Here is a 21419-nt window from a genome sequence, read left to right as displayed (position 1 = left end):
TTTTAGTAGAGACGGGGTTTCACCATGTTGGCCAGGCTGGTCTTGAACTCCTGATCTCAGATGATCCACCCGCCTCTACCTCCAAAAGTGCTAGGATTACAGGCGTAAGCCACGTGCCCAGCCCATTTTAGTAAATCAAATCCAACAATATATACAAAAGAAAATACATCAAGATGAATTTGAATTTATTCCAAGAATGCAAGAAAAACCATCTCAAGAGATGCAAAGAAAAGCGTTTGACAAAATCCACCATCCATTCCTGATTTAAAAAAAACTCTTGGCCGGGTGCAGTGGCTCACGCCTGTAATCCCTGCACTTTGGGAGGCCAAGGCGGGTGGATCACCTGAGGTTAGGAGTTTGAGACCAGCCTAGCCAACATGATGAAACCCCACCTCTACTAAAAATACAAAAAATTAGCTGGACGTGGTGGCGTGCACCTGTAATCCCAGCTATTCAGGAGGATGAGGCAGGAGGATCACTTGAACCCGGGAGGTGGAGGTTGCAGTGAGCCTAGATCGGACCACTGCACTCCAGCCTGGGCAAGAAGAGCAAAACTCTGTCTCAGAAAAAAAACCAAAAACCAAAAACCAAAAAAACCTCTCAGAAAACTAGAAATGAAAGAAGGTAATATCTCCTCCATATGATAAAGAGCAATTACAAATAACCTATAGTAATGTCAAACTCAATGGTGAAAGACTGCCTTTCCTCCTAACATAACATTACAAACAGGCCAACATGTCCTTTTTTTTTTTTTTTTTTTTTTTTTTGAGACGGAGTCTCACTCTGTGGTGGCCCAGACTGGAGTGCAATGGCGCGATCTCAGCTCTCTGCCTCCCAGGTTCAAGTGATTCTCCTGCCTCAGCCTCCCAAATAGCTGGCATTACAGGCGCCCGTCACCATGCCCGACTAATTTTTGTATTTTCTTAGTAGAGATGGGGTTTCACCATGTTGGCCAGGCTGGTCTCGAATTCCCGACCTCAGGTGATCCACCCATCTCAGCCTCCCAAAGTGCTGGGATAACAGGCGTGAGCCACCGTGCCTGGCTCTTTTTTTTCTTTTTTTTTTTTCTTTTTGAGACAGGGTCTGGCTCTTGGCTCACTGCAACCTCCGTCTTCTGGGCTCAAGCATTCCTCCCACCTAAGCCTCCTGAGTAGCTGGGACTTACAGGCGCACGCAACCATGCCTTGCTAATTTTTGTATATTTTGTAGAGATGAGGTTTCACCATGTTGCCCGGGCTGGTTTCTAACTCCTGGCCTCAAGTGATCCACCTGCCTCAGCCTCCCAAAGTGCTGGGATTACTGGCGCGAGCCACTGCACCCAGCTAATTGTATTTCTATAAACTAGCAGTGACCCATAGGAAATTGAAACCTTAAAATAACATGTATGGGCTGGGCATGGTGGCTCACGCCTGTAATCCCAGCATTTTGGGAGGCCCAGGCAGATGGATCACTTGGGGTCGGGAGTTTGAGACCAGCCTGGCCAACACAGTGAAACCCCCATTTCCACTAAAAATGCAAAAATTAGGCCAGGAGGGGTGGCTCACACCTGTAATCCTAACACTTCGGGAGGCCAAGGCAGGTGGATCACCAGAGGTCAGGAGTTCAAGACCAGCCTGGCCAACATGGTGAAACCCCATCTCGCTTGAACCCCGGAGGAAGAGGTTGCAGTAAGCCAAGATGGCGTCACTGCACTCCAGCCAAGGCAACAGAACAAAACTCCATCTCAAAAAAAAAAAAAAAAAAAGGCCAAGTGCAGTGGCTCATGCCTGTAATCCTAGCACTTTGGGAGGCTGAGGTGGATGGATCACGAGATCAGGAGTTGGAGACCAGCCTGGTCAATATGGTGAAACCCTGTCTCTACTAAAAATAAAAAATAACTAGCCCGGTATGGTGGTGTGTGCCTGTAGTCCCAGCTATTCAGGAGGCAGAGGTGAGAGAATCGCTTGAACCTGGGAGGCAGAGGTTTCAGTGAGCCGAGATTGTGCCGCTGCACTCTAGCCTGGGCAATAGAGGGAGACTCTGTCTCAAAAAACAAACAAACGAAAAATTAGCCAGGCGTGGGGGCATGAGCCTGTGGTCCCAGCTACTCAGGAGGCTGAGGCAGGAGAATCCCTTGAATGCGGGAGGCAGAGGCTGCAGTGAGCCGAGATGGTGCCACTGTACTCCAGCCTGGGTGAGAGAGTGAGACTCTGTCTCAAAAAATAAAAGAAAAAAAATAAAAAAAGAAAGAAAGAAATTAAATAATTCCCAAATGAATAGACACACCATGTTTATGAAGCAGGAGACTCAATATTATTAAGATACCAGTTCTCCTGACGTTGATCTATAGAATCAATGTAATCCCAGTCAAATCCCAGCGGATATTTTTGTAGAATTGACAACCTGATTCTTTTTTTTTTTTTTTTTTTTTGAGACGGAGTTTCGCTCTTGTTGCCCAGGCTGGAGTGCAATGGCGCAATCTTGGCTCACTGCAACCTCTGCCTCCCAGGTTCAAGCAATTCTCCTGCCTCAGCCTCCCGAGTAGCTGGGATTACAGGCATGCACCACCACGCCCAGCTAATTTTGTATTTTTAGTAGAGACGGGGTTTCTCCACGTTGAGGCTGGTCTCGAACTCCTGACCTCAAGTGATCCGCCTGCCTCGGCCTCCCAAAGTGCTGGGATTACAGGCGTGAGCCACCGCACCCGGCCGACAACCTGGTTCTAAAAGTCATATGGAAATGTAAAAAAACTAAAACAACTTTGAAAAACAAGAACAAATTTGGAGGACCTGCACTTCCTGACTTCATGACTTATTATAAAGCTACAATAATCAAAATATTGTGGTATCTGTGTCAAGACAGCCAATTATATCAATGAAAGAGAACAGAAACCCCAGAAATAGACCCACACATATATGTTCAATTGATTTTTGAAAAAAGTGCTAAGTGCAGAATGGATATTCTTTTCAACAAATAATGTTGGAACAATTGGATAGCCATGTGCCCTCAATTTCTTTTTTTCTTTTTCTTTTTCTTTTTTTTTTTTTTTTTTTGTGGAAATGGAGTCTCGCTCTGTCGCCCAGGCTGGAGTGCAGTGGTGTGACTTCTGCTCACTGCTACCTCCACCTACCGGGTTCAAGCAATTCTTGTGCCTCTGCCTCCTGAGTAGCTGGGACTGCAGTCGCATGCCACCACGCCCAGCTAATTTTTGTATTTTTAGTAGAGATGGGGTTTCGCCATGTTGGCCAGGCTAGTCTCCAACATCTGGCCTCAAGCAATCCACCCGCCTCGGCCTCCCAAAGTGCTGGTATTACAGGATCCCTGAAGTTTTAACACTCATTGCCTCATAGGGGAGAGGATTGACTGAGAACAGCTGGGAAAGAACTGGGGTGATGTAAACATTCTTTTTTTTTTTTTTTTTGAGACAGAGTCTAGCTCTGTCGCCCAGGCTGGAGTGCAGTGACGCGATCTCAGCTTACTGCAACCTCCACCTCCTGGGTTCAAGCGATTCTCCTGCCTCAGCCTCCCGAGTAGCTGGGATTACAGGCACCCGCCAGCACACCCAGCTAATTTTTGTATTTTTAGTAGAGACGGTGTTTCAGTGTGTTGCCCAGGCTAGTCTTGAATTCCAGACCTCGTAATCTGCCCGCCTTGGACTCCCAAAGTGCTGGGATTACAAGTGTGAGCCCCCGCGCCCTGCTGATGTAAACATTCTATATCATGATAGGGGTAGGAGCTACTTGAGTGTATTCTTTTTTTTTTTTTTTTTTTAGAGACGGAGTCTCACTCTGTCACCCAGGCTGGAGTGCAGTGGCGCGATCTCGGCTCACTGCAAGCTCTGCCTCCCAGGTTCACGCCATTCTCCTGCCTCAGCCTCCCAAGTAGCTGGGACTATGGGCAGCCGCCACCACGCCCGGCTAATGTTTTGTATTTTTTTTTAGTAGAGATGGGGTTTCACCATGTTAGCCAGGATGGTCTCGATCTGACCTCGTGATCCGCCAGCCTCGGCCTCCCAAAGTGCTGGGATTACAGACGCGAACCACCACACCCGGCCAAGTGTATTCTTTATCAGGCTGCTGTGAATTTTGATTTGTGAATTTTACCACATGTAAATTTTACCTCAAAAATGCCTGTAAACAGGCTGGGCGCGGTGGCTCACGCCTGTAATCCCAGCACTTTGGGAGGCCGAGGCGGGCGGATCACGAGGTCAGGAGATCGAGACCATCCTGGCCAACACGGTGAAACCCCGTCTCTACTAAAAAAAATACAAAAAATTAGCCGGGCGTGGTGGCAGGCGCCTGTAGTCCCAGCTACTCGGGAGGCTGAGGCAGGAGAATGGCGTGAACCCAGGAGGCGGAGCTTGCAGTGAGCCGAGATTGCGCCACTGCACTCCAGCCAGCCTAGGCGACAGAGCAAGACTCTGTCTCAAAAAAAAAAAAAAAAAGAAAAAAAAAAGAAAAATGCCTGTAAACAATGGGTTGGGTATGCTGGCTCCCACCTGCAATCTGGGCACTTTGGGAGGCTGAGACAGGAGGATTGCTTCAGGCCAGGAGTTGGAGACAACCCTGGGGAACATAGTAAGGTCCCTGTCTCTACTATATATATATGTGTGTGTATATATATGTATGTGTGTGTATATATATATATGTATGTGTATATATAGTGTGTGTATATATATATACATATCTATCTATCTATCTATATATTTTTTGAGAGTCTGGCTCTTGTTGCCCAGGCTGGAGTGCAATGACGCAATCTTGGCTCACTGCAACCTCTGCCTCCTGGCTTCAAGCGATTCTCCTGCCTCAGCCTCCTGAGTAGCTGGGATTACAGGCGCCCGCCACCATGCCCAGCTAATTTCTGTATTTTAAGTAGAGATGGGGTTTCACCACGTTGGCCAGGCTGGTCTCGAACTCTTGACCTCAGGTGATCTGCCCACCTCAGCCTCCCAAAGTGCTGGGATTAAGGTGTGAGCCACCATGCCCGGCCTACAAATTTTTTTTTTTTTTGAGATGGAGTCTCACTCTGTCGCCCAGGCTGTAGTGCAGTGGTGCGATCTCGGCTCACTGCAACCTCCACCTCCCAGGTTCAAGCGATTCTCTTGCTTCAGCCTCCCAAGTAGCTGGGACTACAGGCACGTGCCACCAATCCCAGCTAATTTTTTGTGTTTTTAGTAGAGACGGGGTTTCACCGTGTTGGCCAGGATGGTCTCGATCTCCTGACCTCGTGATCCGCCCGCCTTGGCCTCCCAAAGTGCTGGGATTACAGGCGTGCGCCACCGCCCCCGGCCACAAAAAAATATTTTTTTTAAAATTAGCCAGGCGTGGTGGCATGTACCTGTAGTCCCCACTACATAAGAGGCTGAGGTGGGAGGATCGCTTGAGCCCAAGAGTTTGAGGCTGCGGTCAGCTGTGATCACACCACTGCACTCCAGCCTGGGTGACAAAGTGAGACCCTGTCTTAAAGAAAAAAAAAAAAAAGGTCTGGGAGGCTGAAGTATGAGAATTGCTTGAACCCAGGAGGTGGAAGTTGCAGTGAGCTGAGATCGTTCCACACTGCACTCCACCCTGGGTGACAGAGCAAGACGCTGTCTCTAAAAAAAATATATATATATATCTGTAAACAAATATTGTACTCTGGTAAGTAGATTTGCTTTTGTAGTGGTGTGGGTTAGGCAATTCTGAAAATTCCTTTGTGTAATCTAGGTTTGAGGAAACAAGTAATTAGGAATAATGGGAGTTAGATTACTTACTAAAAGAGTGACAAATATGGATGGGGAAAACAAAAGTTTACCCTGAAGTGTTGAATTGGAATTGGAGGTATCAGGATGATCTCATGGTTTTATATATAGACAGAGAAAGAGAGTTATGTTATAAAGAGAACTAGTGTGCATGTCTGTGTATGTGTCCCCTGTCTGTTCACTGAGAGGGCCTACAAACAGATATATCTCTAGCAATGAGCAATAAGCGCATCTAGGGTACAGATTTGGTTTCATTTTCATTTTTCTATTTTTCTTCTTTTTTTTTTTTTTTGAGATGAAGTCTCGCTCTGTCACCCAGGCTGGAGTGCAGTGGTGCGATCCCAGCTCACTGCAATCTCTGTCCCCCAGATTCAAGCAATTCTTGTGTCTCAGCGTCCCGAGCAGCTGGGACTACAGGTGTGTGCCACCGAGCCCGACTAATTTTTGTATCTTTAGTAGAGAGGGGGTTTCACCACGTTGCCCTGGCTGGTCTCAAACTCCTGGTCTCAAGTGATCCACCCACCTCGGCCTCCCAAAGTGTTGGGATTACAGGTGTGAGCCACCGCGCCCAGCCGGTTTTTCCATTTTAAATTATGTCTTGAAATAATTTCGGATTAATAGAATAGTTGCAGCTGGCCCGGTGGCTCATGCCTGTAATTCTAGCACTTTGGGAGGCTGAGGCAGGCTGATTGCTTGAGCTCAGGAGTTCAAGACCAGCCTAGGCAATATGGCAAAAACCATCTCTACAAAACATACAAAAATTAGTTGGGTGTGGTGGTGGGCGCATCTACAAAACATACAAAAATTAGTTGGGCCTGGTGGTAGGTGCCTGTGGTCCCAGTTACTCAGGAGGCTGAGGTGGGAGGATCACTTGAGCCCAGGAGGTCAAGGCTGTAATGAGCCGTGTTCATGCAACTACACTCTAGCCTGGGAGACTAGAGTTGAGACACTATCTCGAAAAGGCTGAAAGGCTGGATGCAGTGGCTCATGGCTGTAATCCCAGCACTTGGGAGACCGAGGCAGGTGGATCACCTGAGGTCGGGAGTTCAAGACCAGCCTGGCCAACGTGACAAAACCTCATCTCTACTAAAAATAAAAAAAAAAAATTTTAAATTAGCCAGGCTTGGTGGCAGGCACCTGTAATCCCAACTACTAGGGAGGCTGAGGTAGGAGAATCACTTGAACCCGGGAGGTGGAGGTTGCAGTGAGCTGAGATCACGCTATTGCACTCCATCCTGGGTGACAAGAGCAAAACTCCATCTCAAAAAAAAAAATAGCCAGGTGTGGTGGCGCATGTCTGTAATCCAGCTACTTGGGAGGCTGAGGCAGGAGAATAGTTTGAACTGGGGAGGTGGAGGTTGCAGTGAGAAGAGATCGCACCATTGCACTCCAGCCTGGGCAATGAGAGCCAAACTCCATCTCAAAAATAAATAAATTAATGAAAAGTCTGGGCACAGTGGATCACGCTTGTAATCCAAGCACTTTCGGAGGCTGAGGCAGGTGGATCACCTGAGGTCAGGAGTTGGAGACCAGCCTGACCAACATGGTGAAACCCCATCTCTACTAAAAATACAAAAATTAGCCAGGCATGATGGTGCATGCCTGTAATCCCAGCTATTTGGGAGGCTGAGGCAGGAGAATTGCTTGAACCCGGGAGGCAGAAGTGGCAGTGAGCTGAGATCTCGCCACTGTACTCCAGACTGGGCAATATGAGCAAAACTCTGTCTCAAAAAAAAAAAAAAAAAAAAAAAAGTTGGCTGGGCCTGGTGGCTCATGCCTGTAATCCCAGCACTTTGGGAGGCTGAGGTAGGCAGATCACTTGAGGTCAGGAGTTTGACACCATCGCCTGGCCAACATTGTGAAACCCCATCTCTATTTAAAATACGATAATTAAAACCCCATTGTCTCAGCCGAAAATCTCCTTAAGCTGATAAGCAACTTCAGCAAAGTCTCAGGATACAAAATCAATGTACAAAAATCACAAGCATTCTTATACACCAATAACAGACAGAGAGCCAAATCATGAGTGAACTCCCATTCACAATTGCTTCAAAGAGAATAAAATACTTAGGAATCCAACTTACAAGGGACGTGAAGGACCTCTTCAAGGAGAACTACAAACCACTGCTCAATGAAATAAAAGAGGATACAAAGAAATGGAAGAACATTCCATGCTCATGGGTAGGAAGAATCAATATTGTGAAAATGGCCATACTGCCCAAGGTAATTTATAGATTCAATGCCATCCCCATCAAGCTACCAATGACTTTCTTCACAGAATTGGAAAAAACTACTTTAAAGTTCATATGGAACCAAAAAAGAGCCTGCATTGTCAAGTCAATCCTAAGCCAAAAGAACAAAGCTGGAGGCATCATGCTACCTGACTTCAAACTATACTACAAGGCTACAGTAACCAAAACAGCATGGTACTGGTACCAAAACAGAGATATAGATCAATGGAACAGAACAGAGCCCTCAGAAATTACGCCACATATCTACAACTATCTGACCTTTGACAAATCTGAGAAAAACAAGCAATGGGGAAAGGATTCCCTATTTAATAAATGGTGCTGGGAAAACTGGCTAGCCATATGTAGAAAGCTGAAACTGGATCCCTTCCTTATACCTTATACAATAATTAATTCAAGATGGATTAAAGACTTAAACGTTAGACCTAAAACCATAAAAACCCTAGAAGAAAACCTAGGCATTACCATTCAGGACATAGGCATGGGCAAGGGCTTCATGTCTAAAACACCAAAAGCAATGGCAACAAAAGCCAAAATTGACAAATGGGATCTAATTAGACTAAAGAGCTTCTGCACAGCAAAAGAAACTACCATCAGAGTGAACAGGCAACCTACAAAATGGGAGAAAATTTTCGCAACCTACTCATCTGATAAAGGGCTAATATCCAGAATCTATAATGAACTCAAACAAATTTAGAAGAAAAAAACAAACAACCCCATTAAAAAGTGGGCAAAGGATATGAACAGACACTTCTCAAAAGAAGACATTTATGCAGCCAAAAGACACATGAAAAAATGCTCATCATCACTGGCCATCAGAGAAATGCAAACCAAAACCACAGTGAGATACCATCTCACATCAGTTAGAATGGCAATCATTAAAAAGTCAGGAAACAACAGGTGCTGGAGAGGATGTGGAGAAATAGGAACACTTTTACACTGTTGGTGGGACTGTAAACTAGTTCAACCATTGTGGAAGTCAGTGTGGCGATTCCTCAGGGATCTAGAACCAGAAATACCATTTGACCCAGCCATCCCATTACTGGGTATATACCCAAAGGACTATAAATCATGCTGCTATGAAGACACATGCACATGTATGTTTATTGCATCAGTATTCACAATAGCAAAGACTTGGAACCAACCCAAATGTCCAACAATGATAGACTGGATTAAGAAAATGTGGCACATATACACCATGGAATACTATGCAGCCATAAAAAATGATGAGTTCATGTCCTTTGTAGGGACATGGATGAAATTGGAAATCATCATTCTCAGTAAACTATCGCAAGGACAAAAAACCAAACACTGCATGTTCTCACTTATAGATGGGAATTGAACAATGAGAACACATGGACACAGGAAGGGGAACATCACACTCTGGGGACTGTTGTGGGGTGGGGGGAGGGGGGAGGGATAGCATTAGGAGATATACCTAATGCTAAATGACGAGTTAATGGGTGCAGCACACCAGCATGGCACATGTATACGTATGTAACTAACCGGCACATTGTGCACATGTACCCTAAAACTTAAAGTATAATAATAATAAAAAATAAATAAATAAATAAAATATAATAATTAGCCCATCGTGGTGGCGCCCACCTGTAATGCCAGCTACTCAGGAGACTGATGAAGGAGAATTGTTTGAACCCAGGAGGCGGAGGTTCCAGTGAGCTGAGGTTGCACCACTGCACTCCAGCCTGGATGACAGAGTGAGACCCTGTCTCAAAAAAAAAAAAAAAAAAAAAAAAAAAAAGGACACAGGTGGGATCCAGGAAATCCATGCACAGGCTTCTTTATGCTCTGTACCTCCCTTGAGCAACAGACTGAAATCCAGAGGACCAGGCACAGGCTTCCAAGAGTCGCCCTGTGGAGTCATACAAGACTCAATTTCTCCAGCAATGAGTTGTGACAACATGTGCAAAGTGTTGTCTACTGGGGAAGCTCATTAGAGACTCAGTGGCCAAGGCTTTTTAGTGGGGACTGGTCACATAGGTACTCTCTACCTAGCACATATCAGAATCCTAGACTCTGAGGGAATGCAGGTGTTCCGCATAAACCACATAGTTTCTACAAACAGTTTAGGCACAATAAACCACTCTTGTTTTTTGTTTTTTTGTTTTTTTTTGTTTTGTTTTTTGAGACAGAGTCTCGCTCTGTCGCCCAGGCTGGAGTAGAGTGGCATAATCTCTGCTGACTGCAACGTCCTCCTCCTGGGTTCAAGCAATTGTCCTACCTCGGCTTCCCCAGTAGCTGGGATTACAGGACACTGCAACGATGCCCAGCTAATTTTTGTATTTTTAGTAGATACAGGGTTTCACCATGTTGGTCAGGCTGGTCTCAAACCCCTGACCTCAAGTGATCCACCCGCCTCGGCCTCCCAAAGTGCTGGGATTACAGGCATGAGCGACTGTGCCCAGCCACAATGAACAACTCGTATCAGTGTAGCAAACTGTTTACTAGCCAAATTGGCAGATGCTAGTCAAGGGCTAACCTTGCAATCAGATCTTTCTAAGGATAATAGTCTCAGTCTCTTCTGTACAAAGACATTTAAGAGAAAGTCGTTCTCCAAAGACATTTAAGAGAAAGTCATTCTCTTTTTTTTTTTATTTGAGTCAAAGTCTCGCTCTGCCACCCAGGCTGGAGTGCAGTGTCGCGATCTTGGCTCACTACAACCTCCGCCTCCTGGGTTCATGCAATTCTCCTGCCTCAGCCTCCCAAGTAGCTGGGATTACAGGCGCCTGCCACCACGCCCGGCTAAATTTTGTATTTTTGGTAGAGACAGGTTTCGCCATGTTGGCCAGGCTGGTCTCAAACTCCTGACTGCAAGTGATCTTTGTTTTTTATGATGTTGATGTCTTGATGAGTTCTTTAGTTGGGGTTTGCCTAATAGCTTCTCATGATTCGATTCAGATTATGAATTTTTGGCAGAAATACCACAGAGGTGACTTGTGTCTTTCTCAGTGCATTACGTCGGAAAGCACATAATACCAATTTGTCCCTGTCCTGGTGACGCTAAAGGTGACTTGGTTAAGGTAGTGTTCTCCATTATAAAGTTACCCTAATCCTTGTTATAATTAAAAAGTAAGCCTGGGCAACATAGTGAGATCTCGTCTCTACAAAAAATTTAAAAATTAGCCCTCTGGGCCGGGTGTGGTGGCTCACGCCTGTAATTCCAGCACTTTGGGAGGCCGAGGCGGGGTGATCACCTGAGGTCAGGTCAGGGTTCAAGACCAGCCTGACAAACATAGTGAAACTCCGTCTCTACTCAAAATAGAAAAAATTAGCTGGGCATGGTGGCAGGCGCCTGTAATCACAGCTACTCAGGAGGCTGAGGCAGGAGAATCGCTTGAACCCACCACACCTGGCTAATTTTTGTATTTTTAGTAGAGACCGGGTTTCACCACGTTGGTCAGGCTGGTCTTGAACCCCTGACCTCAGGTGATCTGCCTGCCTTGGCCTCCCAAAGCGCTGGGATTACAGGCGTGAGCCACAGCACCCAGCCTTTTTTTTTTTTTTTTTTTTTTTTTTAATAGAGAGTCTTGCTCTGTCGCCCAGGCTGGAGTGCAGTGGCCCGACCTCGGCTCACTGCAACCTCTGCCTTCCAGGTTCAAGCGATTCTCCTTCTTCAGCCTTCCGAGTAGCTGAGATTACAGGTGCCCGCCATCATGCCCGGCTAATTTTTGTATTTTTAATAGAGACGGGGTTTCACCATGTTGGCCCGGCTGGTCTCGAACTTCTGACCTCAATTGATCCACCTGCCTCGGCCTCCCAAACCGCTGGGATTACAGGCGTGAGCCACTGCGCCTGGCCAATGATGCTTGCCTAAAACAATTATTACAGTAGTAGTTGCCAAATAGTTATTTTCTAATTCCATCATTCCTTGTACATTTATTAGTTGGCATTCCTCTGTGAGGAAGAGTTTTCCCTTCGCCTCCATTTATTTATTTAGATCACTTTGGACTCTTGTATTCTTTTTTAATTCAAATTCTTTCAATGTGTGGTTAAAACAAGATGTTCCAGGCTAATCTTGTACTTTCCTTGCCCCAGCCCTGCAATCAGCTATTTCTCTAAGGGGCCCTGGTTCCTGTTAGTGGAAAATGGTAATTAGGCAAGAGAAATCAATTACAGCCAGTGTGACTGATTGGAAAAGAATAAAGATATCCCTATTTTCAGATGATATGATTTTGTACCTGGTAAACCCTAGAGAATCAATGATAAAACACTCTAACAATAAAAGTATTCAGTAAAATGGAAGGATATAAAATTAACATAGAGAAATCAATGGCTTTTGTATATATCAACAATAACCAGTGAGAGGATATAAAGACGCATAGTGGCTCACATGTGTAGTCCCAGCTACTTGGGAAGTTGAAATGGGAGGATGGCTTGAGCCCAGGAGTTCACGGCTGTAGTGTGCCATGATCATGCCTATAAATAGCCAGTGCAGTCCAGCTGGGGCAACATAGTGAGATCCTGTCTCTACCGAAAAAAAAAAAAGAGATACAATGATAGAGAAAACCTCATTTACAATAGCATCCATAGCATCAAAGAAAATAATTAGGAAGAAATCTAACAAGAAATGTGAAAAAAATCTATGTGTGGAACACTTTAAAATGCTTCTGTCAAAACCCATTGATCTTTACGATATAAAAAAAGTTTGTTAATGTATGCAAAATTTTAAAAAAAGCAACCAGGAGGTCAGGGAATCCAGTATGGAATGGAGACTGTGACAACATAATTTATATATTACAAATGTAGGCAAGGGCCGGGCACGGTGGCTCACGCCTGTAATCCCAGCACTTTGGGAGGCTGAGGTGGGCAGATCCCTTGCAGCCAGGAGTTTGAGACCAACCTGGCCAACATGGTGAAACCTGTCTCACCAAAAATACAAAAATTAGACGGGCATGGTGTCACGTGCCCATAATCCCAGCAACTTGGGAGGCTGAGGTAGGAGAATCGCTAGAACCTGGGAGGCAGAGGTTGCAGTAAGCCAAGATCGGGCCACTGAACTCCAGAGCGAGACTTCATCTCAAAAAATCACACACATACAAAAAAAAACCAAAAGTAGGCCTAGTGTGGTGGCTCACCCCTGAAATCTTAGCACTTTGGAAGGCAGATGTGGGTGGATCACTTGAGCCCAGGAGTTTGAGACCAGCCTGGGCAACATAGTAAGACTTGGTTTCTACAAAAAATTAAAAAAAAATTAGCTGGGCATGGTAGCCTGTGCCTGTAGTCCCAGCTACTTGGGAGGCTGAGGTAGGAGGACTGGTTGAGCCCAGAAGGTCGAGGCTGAAGTGAGCCGAGATTGCACCACTGCACTCCAGTCTGGATGACAGAGCGAGACCCTGTCTCAAAAAAAAAAAAAAAAAGAAAAAGAAAAGGAAAAGGCCGTGTGTGGTAGCTTAGCTCACGTCTTTAATCCCAGCACTTTGGGAGGCCGAGGCGGGTGGATCACCTGAGGTCAGGAGATCGAGACCAGGCTGGCCAACATGGTGAAACCCCATTTCTACTAAAAATACAAACGTGGTGGTGGGTGCCTGTAATCCCAACTACTCGTGAGGCTGAGGCAGGAGAATCGCTTGAACCCGGGAGGCAGAGGTTGTGGTGAGCCAAGATCACGCCATTGCACTCCAGCCTGGGCGACAAGAGCAAAACTCCGTACACCCTCACCCAAAAAAGTTGTTAATATTCCTAATATGCAAAGAGGCCAGGTGCGGTTGTGCACACCTGTAACCCCAGCACTTTGAGAGGCAGAGGCGGGAGGATAACTTGAGGTCAGGAGTTTGAGACCAACCTGGCCAACATGGTGAAACCCCGTCTCTACTAAAAATACAAAAATTAGCTGGGCATGATGGTGGGTGCCTGTAGTCCCAACTACTTGGGAGGCTGAGGCAGGAGAATCTCTTGAACCCGGGAGGCAGAGATTGCAGTGAGCCGAGATTGCACCACTGCACTCCAACCTGGGCAACAGAGGGAGACTCTGTCTCAAAAGAAAAATAATAATTAAATTAAAAAAATAAAATAAGAACAGATATTAAAATGATTCTTGGTGGCATATGTCTGTAGTCCCAGCTACTTGGGGGGCTGAGGTGGGAGAATTGCTTGAGCCCAGGAAGTCAAGGCAGCAGTGAGCCCTGATTGTGCCACTACACTCCTGCGTGGGCGGTAGAGCAAGACCCTGTCTCAAAATAAAATAAAATGAAATAAAATAAGTTCGGGCACGGTGGCTCATGCCTGTAATCCCAGCACTTTGGGAGGCCGAGGCAGGTGGATCGCCTGAGGTCAGGAGTTCAAGACCAGCCTGACCAATGTGGTAAAACCCTGTCTCTACTAAAAATACAAAAATTAGTCGGGCATGGTGGCAGGCGCCTGTAATCCCACCTACTTGGGAGGCTGAGGCAGGAGAATTGCTTGAACCTGGGAGGCGGAGGTTGCAGTGAGCTGAGATCGCGCCAATGCACTCCAGCCTGGGCAACAAGAGTGAAACTCCGTCTCAAAAAAACAAATAAATAAAAATTAAAAATAAAATAAACATAGGACAAGGTGGTGAATCTCACTCATAATAAGAGAAACACAAATTAAAACTACACTAAGAGAATGGATAAACAAATTGTGGTATAGTCATACTATGGATTTTGTTTTGTTTTGTTTTGTTTTTGAGACAGAGTTTTCCCCTCTATCGCTAAGGCTGGAGTGCAGTGGCACGATCTCGGCTCACTGCACCCTCCACCTCTTGGGTTCAAGCGATTCTCATGCCTCAGCCTCCTGAGTAGCTGTGATTACAGGCGTGTACCATCACTCCTAGCTTATTTTTGTATTTTTAGTACAGATGTGGTTTCACCATGCTGGCTGGGCTGGTCTTGCACTCCTGACCTCAGGTGATACACCTGCCTCGGCCTCCCAAAGTGCTGGGATTACAGGCGTGAGCCACTGAGCCCGCCCGGCCCATACTATGGAATTTTACTAGTCAATAAAAAGAAAAAAAGATACTTATACACGAAACAACTTGGATGAATCTCAAAAGGATTATGATGAGTGAAAGAAGCCAGACAGAAAAGGATACATCCTGTCTCATTCTATTTGCATGAAACTCTGCAAGAGAAATGTAATCCAGTAACAGGAAGCCAATCATTGGTTACCTGGGATAGGGGGTGGGGTTTGGGATAGGATACAAAGAAATCAATGTTCCCTATCTTGCTTGTGATGGTGGTTACAAGGTTGTATACATTAGACAAAGCTCACTAAATTGTACCCTTAAAATGGGTGCATTTATGTATATAGACAGATCAATAGCGTTATCTTTCAATAAAGTCAATTAAATCAAGAAAGAAATCAAAGAGTCCTGGCTGGCAATACTTTTCTTTTTCTTTCTTTTCTTGGAGACAGAGTCTCGCTCTATCCCCCAGGCTGGAGTGTAGTGGTGCGATCTCGGCTCACCGCAACCTCTGCCTGGCGGGTTCAAGCGATTCTCGTGCCTCAGCCTTCCGAGTAGCTGGGATTACAGGCGCCCACCACCACACCCGGCCAATTTTTGTGTTTTTAGTAGAGATGGGGTTTCACCATGTTGGCCAGGTTAGTCTCGAACTCCTGACCGCAAGTGAACAGCCCTCCTTGGCCTCCCAAAGTGCTGGGATTACAGGCGTGAGCCACCGCGCCCGGCCCTGCTGGAAATATTTTTCCACAGCAGGGAAATCATTAAATTCTACGAAAATAAGAAGGCTGGGCGCGGTGGCTCACGCCTTAATCCCAGCACTCTGGGAGGCCGAGGCGGGCGGACTACCTGAGGTCGGGAGTTCGAGACCGGCCTGACCAATATGGAGAAACCCCGTCTCTACTAAAAAAAAAAAAAAAAATTACCCGGACGAGGTGGCGGGCGCCTGTAATCCCAGCTACTCGGGAGGCTGAGGCAGGAGAATCGCTTGAACTCGCCAAGCGGAGGTTGCTGTGATCGGATATCGTGCCACTGCACTCCAGCCTGGGCAACAAAAGTGAAACTCCGTCTCAAAAAAGAAAAACAACAACAACAACAACAACAAAAACAGAAAGAAAAAAGAAAATAAGAAAAAAACTACACTGAGATACCATTTCTTACTCTCAGATCGGTGAGGGTTATAGTGAATTCTAATACTTGAATGAGCCTGGTGTTTCACCACCCTGGTTTGTTTTTTGTTTTTGTTTTGTTTTAATGTAGCTTTTTCGTTTGATTCACTGTCACTCTTTCCACTCTGCTATTTTTATTGGTGGCTAAGTCCTTTACCTAACGTGACATGCAGTATCATGATAACAAAATAAGTGTCAAACCTTAAAAAAAAAAAAAAAAAAAAAGGCCAAAGGCTTTACAAGAGGTGGGATTCCCCTTTGGGGTCTCCCGGAGGAGGGGCGGGAACAAGACCAGAGCGAAGCTTCCGCTTTCATTTCTATGGTTATTAAGTTACCCATTCTCATTAAAGGAATACCGCGGAAGGGTGATTTTCTGTCGGCAAAGACTTCCCTAGCGACGAGTCCACCCATGAAACGGGGATGTAATAATGTCGTATCACAATGGGTGGCCTAGAAGAGTCCAAAAGCCAATCAGATGACTTACATTCGGGTAGAACGTTGTATTACAGTTCACCTGACTCGTCGGTTTCGTTCTCTTCTCTGCGTCTCCAAAATGCTGCCCTTCGGAATTAGGTTCTACCCCCTCCATTCCTGGCCAGTGGTTTGGTCCGACCTTAATACTGCCAGGAGGCGCGAGCTGCGTCTGCGCAGAAAGCTGGCGGGGGGGTGGGGGGAGGAACATGGCGCAAGCTCTGTCTGAGGAGGAGTTTCAGCGGATGCAGGTGCCGCTCGCGGTGGGAAAGACCACCCGGCTAGGCGACCGGGGGCGGGGTAGCGAGAGGTCGTGCTATCAGCTCTGAGAAGGGGTTGGTTGGGATGGACCCTGAGTTTATGGGGTGGGTCTGGAGAAGGGAAACTGAGGCTCGGAGTGGTGAGACTATTGGATTCCGAGATACTCTGCGGCTTTGAAGGTTGGACTCTGTTAGCATTGTGGGCTGGGAGAGCGCCATTAAGTAGGCGGTACCTTACTCAGACCTGGAGGGGACGAGACTTTTGGGCCCGTGCAGGGGACACCGTCGGCGGGTGATGATAATGGGCTTTGAGGGAAGGAGATCCTGAGAAGGCGAAACCATTTTGTCTGGAGAGGAAGGAAGCGGGTGTTGGGTCGTTTGCGTCATGGTGGTGGGAGCCCTTGAGAGGGCAGAACCATTAGCGGGTGGGAGGTGGTAAGTTTTGGGGGAGATACCACTGTGCCCGGGGATTGGGGAAAGACCCCAGATGTTGTCATTGTTCCTGGGAGGTGGAGATCCTGTGCCATTGGTGGTTGGTAGTGCATCCTAAGAGGGGGCGGCACCATTGGATGATTAAGGGTGATCCCATTAGGCCTGGGGTGAAGAAGGCCATGAATGGGTAATACCATTAATCCCATTAACTGGGGGGAGGACCAGAGGGGTAAAAGATTGATACCTTGGACTACAAGGAGGGAAGATCACTGGGCTTTGGGGAGGTACCCCCACTTGATTCTTTTGGGGGGACTCTGAGATGCAATGAAAGGCCATAGCATTGCACTATGAATGGGCCCTTGTTGAGAGGGTTCCTCACTGGGGGGGGGGTCTGAACAGGGTCCTGCATGGGGAGGGGAGGAACTCTGAGGGAGGACAGGTAATCCAATTGGTCCTTGAATGAGGGAAACCAGCTGTCCCTGTGTGAGGGACACTGAGAATGGAAGGGCGAGTTGATTAACCCATGAATGGGGAAGACCACTGTCATCTGAAAGGGATTCTAAGTGAGTAAGAGTCATCCAACTGGCCTACCCAAGGCCTTGTAGAGGCCTACCCTGAAGGGTGTAGGGCCATTCCCAATGGATCATGACTGGGGAGATCTTGAGGGGAGTGGGAATACCCTTGAATGAGGAACATTGATCCCACTGGGCCATGAATGAGGGAGAACTACTGGGCTTTGTTGGGGGGCAAGTCTCGGGGGGTACAAAGGATATTCCACTTGGACCAGTACTTGGAGAGACAGATCACTGGGTCCTGGAGAGGACAGGAGTAGGAAAGATTCTGTGAAGGCCAAGCCCTCTGACCTTGAGCAGACTACCAGAGAACAGTGAGTGGAGGCTGGTGGCGTGGGAGGGAGGGAAAAGTCCTGGTAGGGGAAGGAACAGTAAGTTCCTTAATGGGAAGGAACCGGCCTTGCTGGGTAGAACCAGCCTCAGGGTCCTATAGGGCTGGTAGGGAGGAGGATGCTTAATTCTTTTTCTTTTTCTTTTTTTTTGAGACAGAGTCTTTCTCTGTCACCCAGGCTATAGTGTGCAGTGGCACGATCTCAGCTCACTGCAACCTCCACCTCCCGGGTTCAAGTGATTCTCCTATCTCAGCTTCCCTAGTAGCTGGGATTACAGGTGCGTACCACCACGCCCAGCTAATTTTTGTATTTTTAGTAGAGATGAGGTTTCACCATGTTGGCCAGGCTGGTCTTGAACTCCTGACCTCAAGTGATCTGCCCACTTTGGCCTCCGAAAGTGTTTGGATTACAGGTGTCAGCCACTGCGCCTGGCACTTTCCCTTAATTCTTTTTTTTTTTTTTTTTTTTTTTTTTTTTTGAGACAGAGTCTCACTCTGTCACCCAGGCTGGAGTGCAGTGGCACAATCTCGGCTCACTGCAACCTCCACCTCCCAGGTTCAAGCGATTCTCCTGCCTCAGCCTCCCGAGTAGCTGGGACTACAGGTGTGCGCCACCACACCCGGCTAATTTTTTATATTTTTAGTGGAGACGGGGTTTCACCATATTGGGCAGGCTGATTTTGAATTCCTTACCTCGTGACCCACCCGCCTTGGCCTCCCAAAGTGCTGGGATGACAGGTGTGAGCCACCGCACCTGGTCCTCCCTTAATTATTGAAGGGGGCCTGGATGTATTTTGAGAGCCTTGGAGGTGGGGGGACCCTGGAAAGCCCCCTGACTCAATGAAAGTTGGGCAGAATACTTGACCCTTTTCCCTTAGGAAAGAGGGAGGAAGACAGGCCCTTAACCCCCTGCCATCAGAGGCCCCCAGGTCTGGTCAGAAATATGGACAACACCCCTGACAGTGTGTGTTCAGTGTGTGGAGAGGTCAGCCAGGATGAGGAGGAGGAACTTTATCCTGTGGGCATGGAGAGCCAGGGAACTCACACAAGCAAGACCCTGACTGGGGGCAGTGCTCTGGGATGGCCTGAGTGCAGCGTGGATTGTAGTGTGAGATGGAGGGGTGAGGCTGGCTGGGGTTATAAGTGGAGCTGGAAAAGGTGAGCCAGGGTCTGAGGGCCTGGAAGGTCACTTTGGGTGTAGCACATACAGGTCTTAAGGAGTAGCTACAGAGGCACATGGAGGGCGTAAGGTCTGTGGAGCTTAGGGGCTTGGTTCCCTCATGGTAGGGGTAGGGGCGCTTTCCTGACCAAGTCTTTTCCCTTCCTGCCTCCCCCAAAGGCTCAGCTCCTGGAACTCCGGACAAACAACTACCAGCTTTCAGATGAACTACGCAAGAATGGTGTTGGTGAGCCAGGAGGGCCTTATTAGATGGGGGTGGCTTTGGGGAATGGTGTCCGAGGTTTTCCCTCAGAGGCCTGGCAGGAAGGCCTTTCAGTTTCTTGCCACTGGCTGAGGCTGAGTTTCCCTGCTTTCCCGACACCAGAACTCACCAGTCTTCGACAGAAGGTCGCCTACTTGGATAAGGAGTTCAGCAAAGCTCAGAAGGTACCTCCCTCCACCCACCCATCCACCTACCCATCCACCCTTGCTTCTACCTATCTGACTCATTCATCCCTCCAGTGAGCACCTACAGTGAACCAGACCTAATGTTGCATGCTGTTTTCACGTAGTCATTTAAAGGATTCTCAATGGAATTCTCTTTAGTTGCTAATTTTACCTAATCCTGCTTAATTTAGTGATTAATTTTAATTTACTTTTAATTCATTTCTAATTTCAGTTACTCATTCTCATTCACTGACTTTTAATTAAATATTCAAATCTATCAGTAAATCTACCTCGAATCTGCCTCCCATCCTCTACTCACACTCCTGCCTTGTGCTCCTACTTCCCATCTCTGTCCTGGTCCAGTTGGGAAAATGAGAGCAAACCCACCTCTCAGATCCTCTAAAGATGAGATAGGATATAACCTATTGTGGCCCCTCAAGACATTCGAGGTGCTCCTTTGTCACTGCTCTGTCCCCATATCTAGCCATACCTAGCACAATGTTAATACATAATATGTGCTCAATAAATATTTGTTGGATGAACGAATACAGTATGCAGAAAATCCGACAGTCAGGAAGCTGCACTTCTCTTTGGTAGGATGCTGATTCCCCTAAGCTGGCAATGCTCTTGGCTGCCCAGTAGGGGAGCGACAGTTTCCACACTGCGTGGGAGGGACCCACAGAGACATGTATGGACAGATGTAGCAATGAAGCCACAGTTTCTGAGTCTGGAGATCCAGCCCATAAATGGTTAAATACCAGGGCATCTCCCTACCTCCCCTGTCCCCCCACCAGCCTCAAGAGCTTCCAAGAAAGGATGATTTATGTGTGCTGGGGCCCCAGGGCAAGACTTGCATTCATTCACTCACTCACACACTCATTCCATCATTCCTTTGGGCTCCAAATTGTCACACATGTTCTGTGGTTGAAGATGCTCCCATCCTGCAACCCCTGTCATCCTTGTCCTCCCAAAACGCTTGGCACAATTGTCTCCATATCCTAGTAAGGCAGTCCATCTCTGTTCACTTTAGCTCTCTTCCCACCCACCCCCACTTTAGGCACTGAGCAAGAGCAAGAAAGCTCAGGTAAGGGGATCCCTTGTGGGTGAGTGTGACTGGGAGATGTCTTGGTGGGCTATTTCTGTATGCTGATATTTCCTTGTACTGGCCTTTCTTTCTTTGTGTGCCTTTACATCTGCTACTACCTCACTGCCATGTGTTGCTGTATCTGTCCTTGTTTCCCTGTATTTGTCCTAACTCTGTGTCTCTTTCCTTCTCTCTCTTTCCATTCTTTTCTCTGAGTCTCTTTCTGTCTCTGTCTGTTTTCCTGTTCCTGTCTCTCTGACTCATTTCTCTTCCCAATCTTCTCTTTGTCTCTCCCCCTCCTGTTCCTGTCTCGGTGATTTCTCTTTTTTCTGCTTTCTCTCTCTAACTCCTTGTTTCTTCCACCCCATTCCTCTCTCTTCCTAACTCATTTCTTTTCCTGACCCCTCCTCTTCTCCCTGTTCTGTTCTCTCCCTGTTGATTTCTGTTTGTTCTTCTCTCCGTCTTTTTCACTCTCTCCCTCCCAATCCCTCTCCCCTTTTCTATCTCTCCCCCTTTCCCCATCTCTACTTCCTCTCTCCCCAATCATTATCTTCCTGTCTTTTCCTCCGCTCTCTTCCTCCCTGTA

The 21419-nt window shown here is 47.0% G+C and overlaps 1 protein-coding gene across 1 annotated transcript in view, besides 2 other annotated features; it reads left to right on the top strand.

The window, feature by feature from the left end:
- Nucleotides 14832-15332: a transcriptional cis regulatory region, noted in NCBI's record as "intergenic|chrX:48860065-48860565 region (GRCh37/hg19 assembly coordinates) targeted for CRISPR interference". NCBI's record gives its function as "negatively regulates HDAC6 gene expression in K562 cells {active_cell/tissue: K562}" and the evidence as "EXISTENCE:mutant phenotype evidence [ECO:0000015][PMID:31784727]".
- Nucleotides 16605-16714: an enhancer, noted in NCBI's record as "active region_29627". NCBI's record gives its function as "activates an Ori minimal core promoter by ATAC-STARR-seq in GM12878 lymphoblastoid cells {active_cell/tissue: GM12878}" and the evidence as "EXISTENCE:reporter gene assay evidence [ECO:0000049][PMID:35858748]".
- The window catches only part of GRIPAP1 (GRIP1 associated protein 1), a 28542-nt gene continuing 23845 nt past the window's right edge, over nt 16723-21419 (top strand). The window contains exons 1-4 of the mRNA NM_020137.5: nt 16723-16799; nt 19483-19549; nt 19688-19749; nt 20807-20833. Of these exons, the coding sequence (NP_064522.4) occupies nt 16758-16799; nt 19483-19549; nt 19688-19749; nt 20807-20833 (198 nt within the window). The 5' untranslated portion in view covers nt 16723-16757. The remainder of the gene's footprint in view (nt 16800-19482; nt 19550-19687; nt 19750-20806; nt 20834-21419) is intronic.

The sequence above is a fragment of the Homo sapiens genome, chromosome X, assembly GCF_000001405.40.
Source record: "Homo sapiens chromosome X, GRCh38.p14 Primary Assembly".
Lineage (NCBI taxonomy): Eukaryota > Metazoa > Chordata > Mammalia > Primates > Hominidae > Homo > Homo sapiens.
Note: the sequence above shows the minus strand (reverse complement) of the source record. Positions and strands in the feature narration are given on the sequence as shown.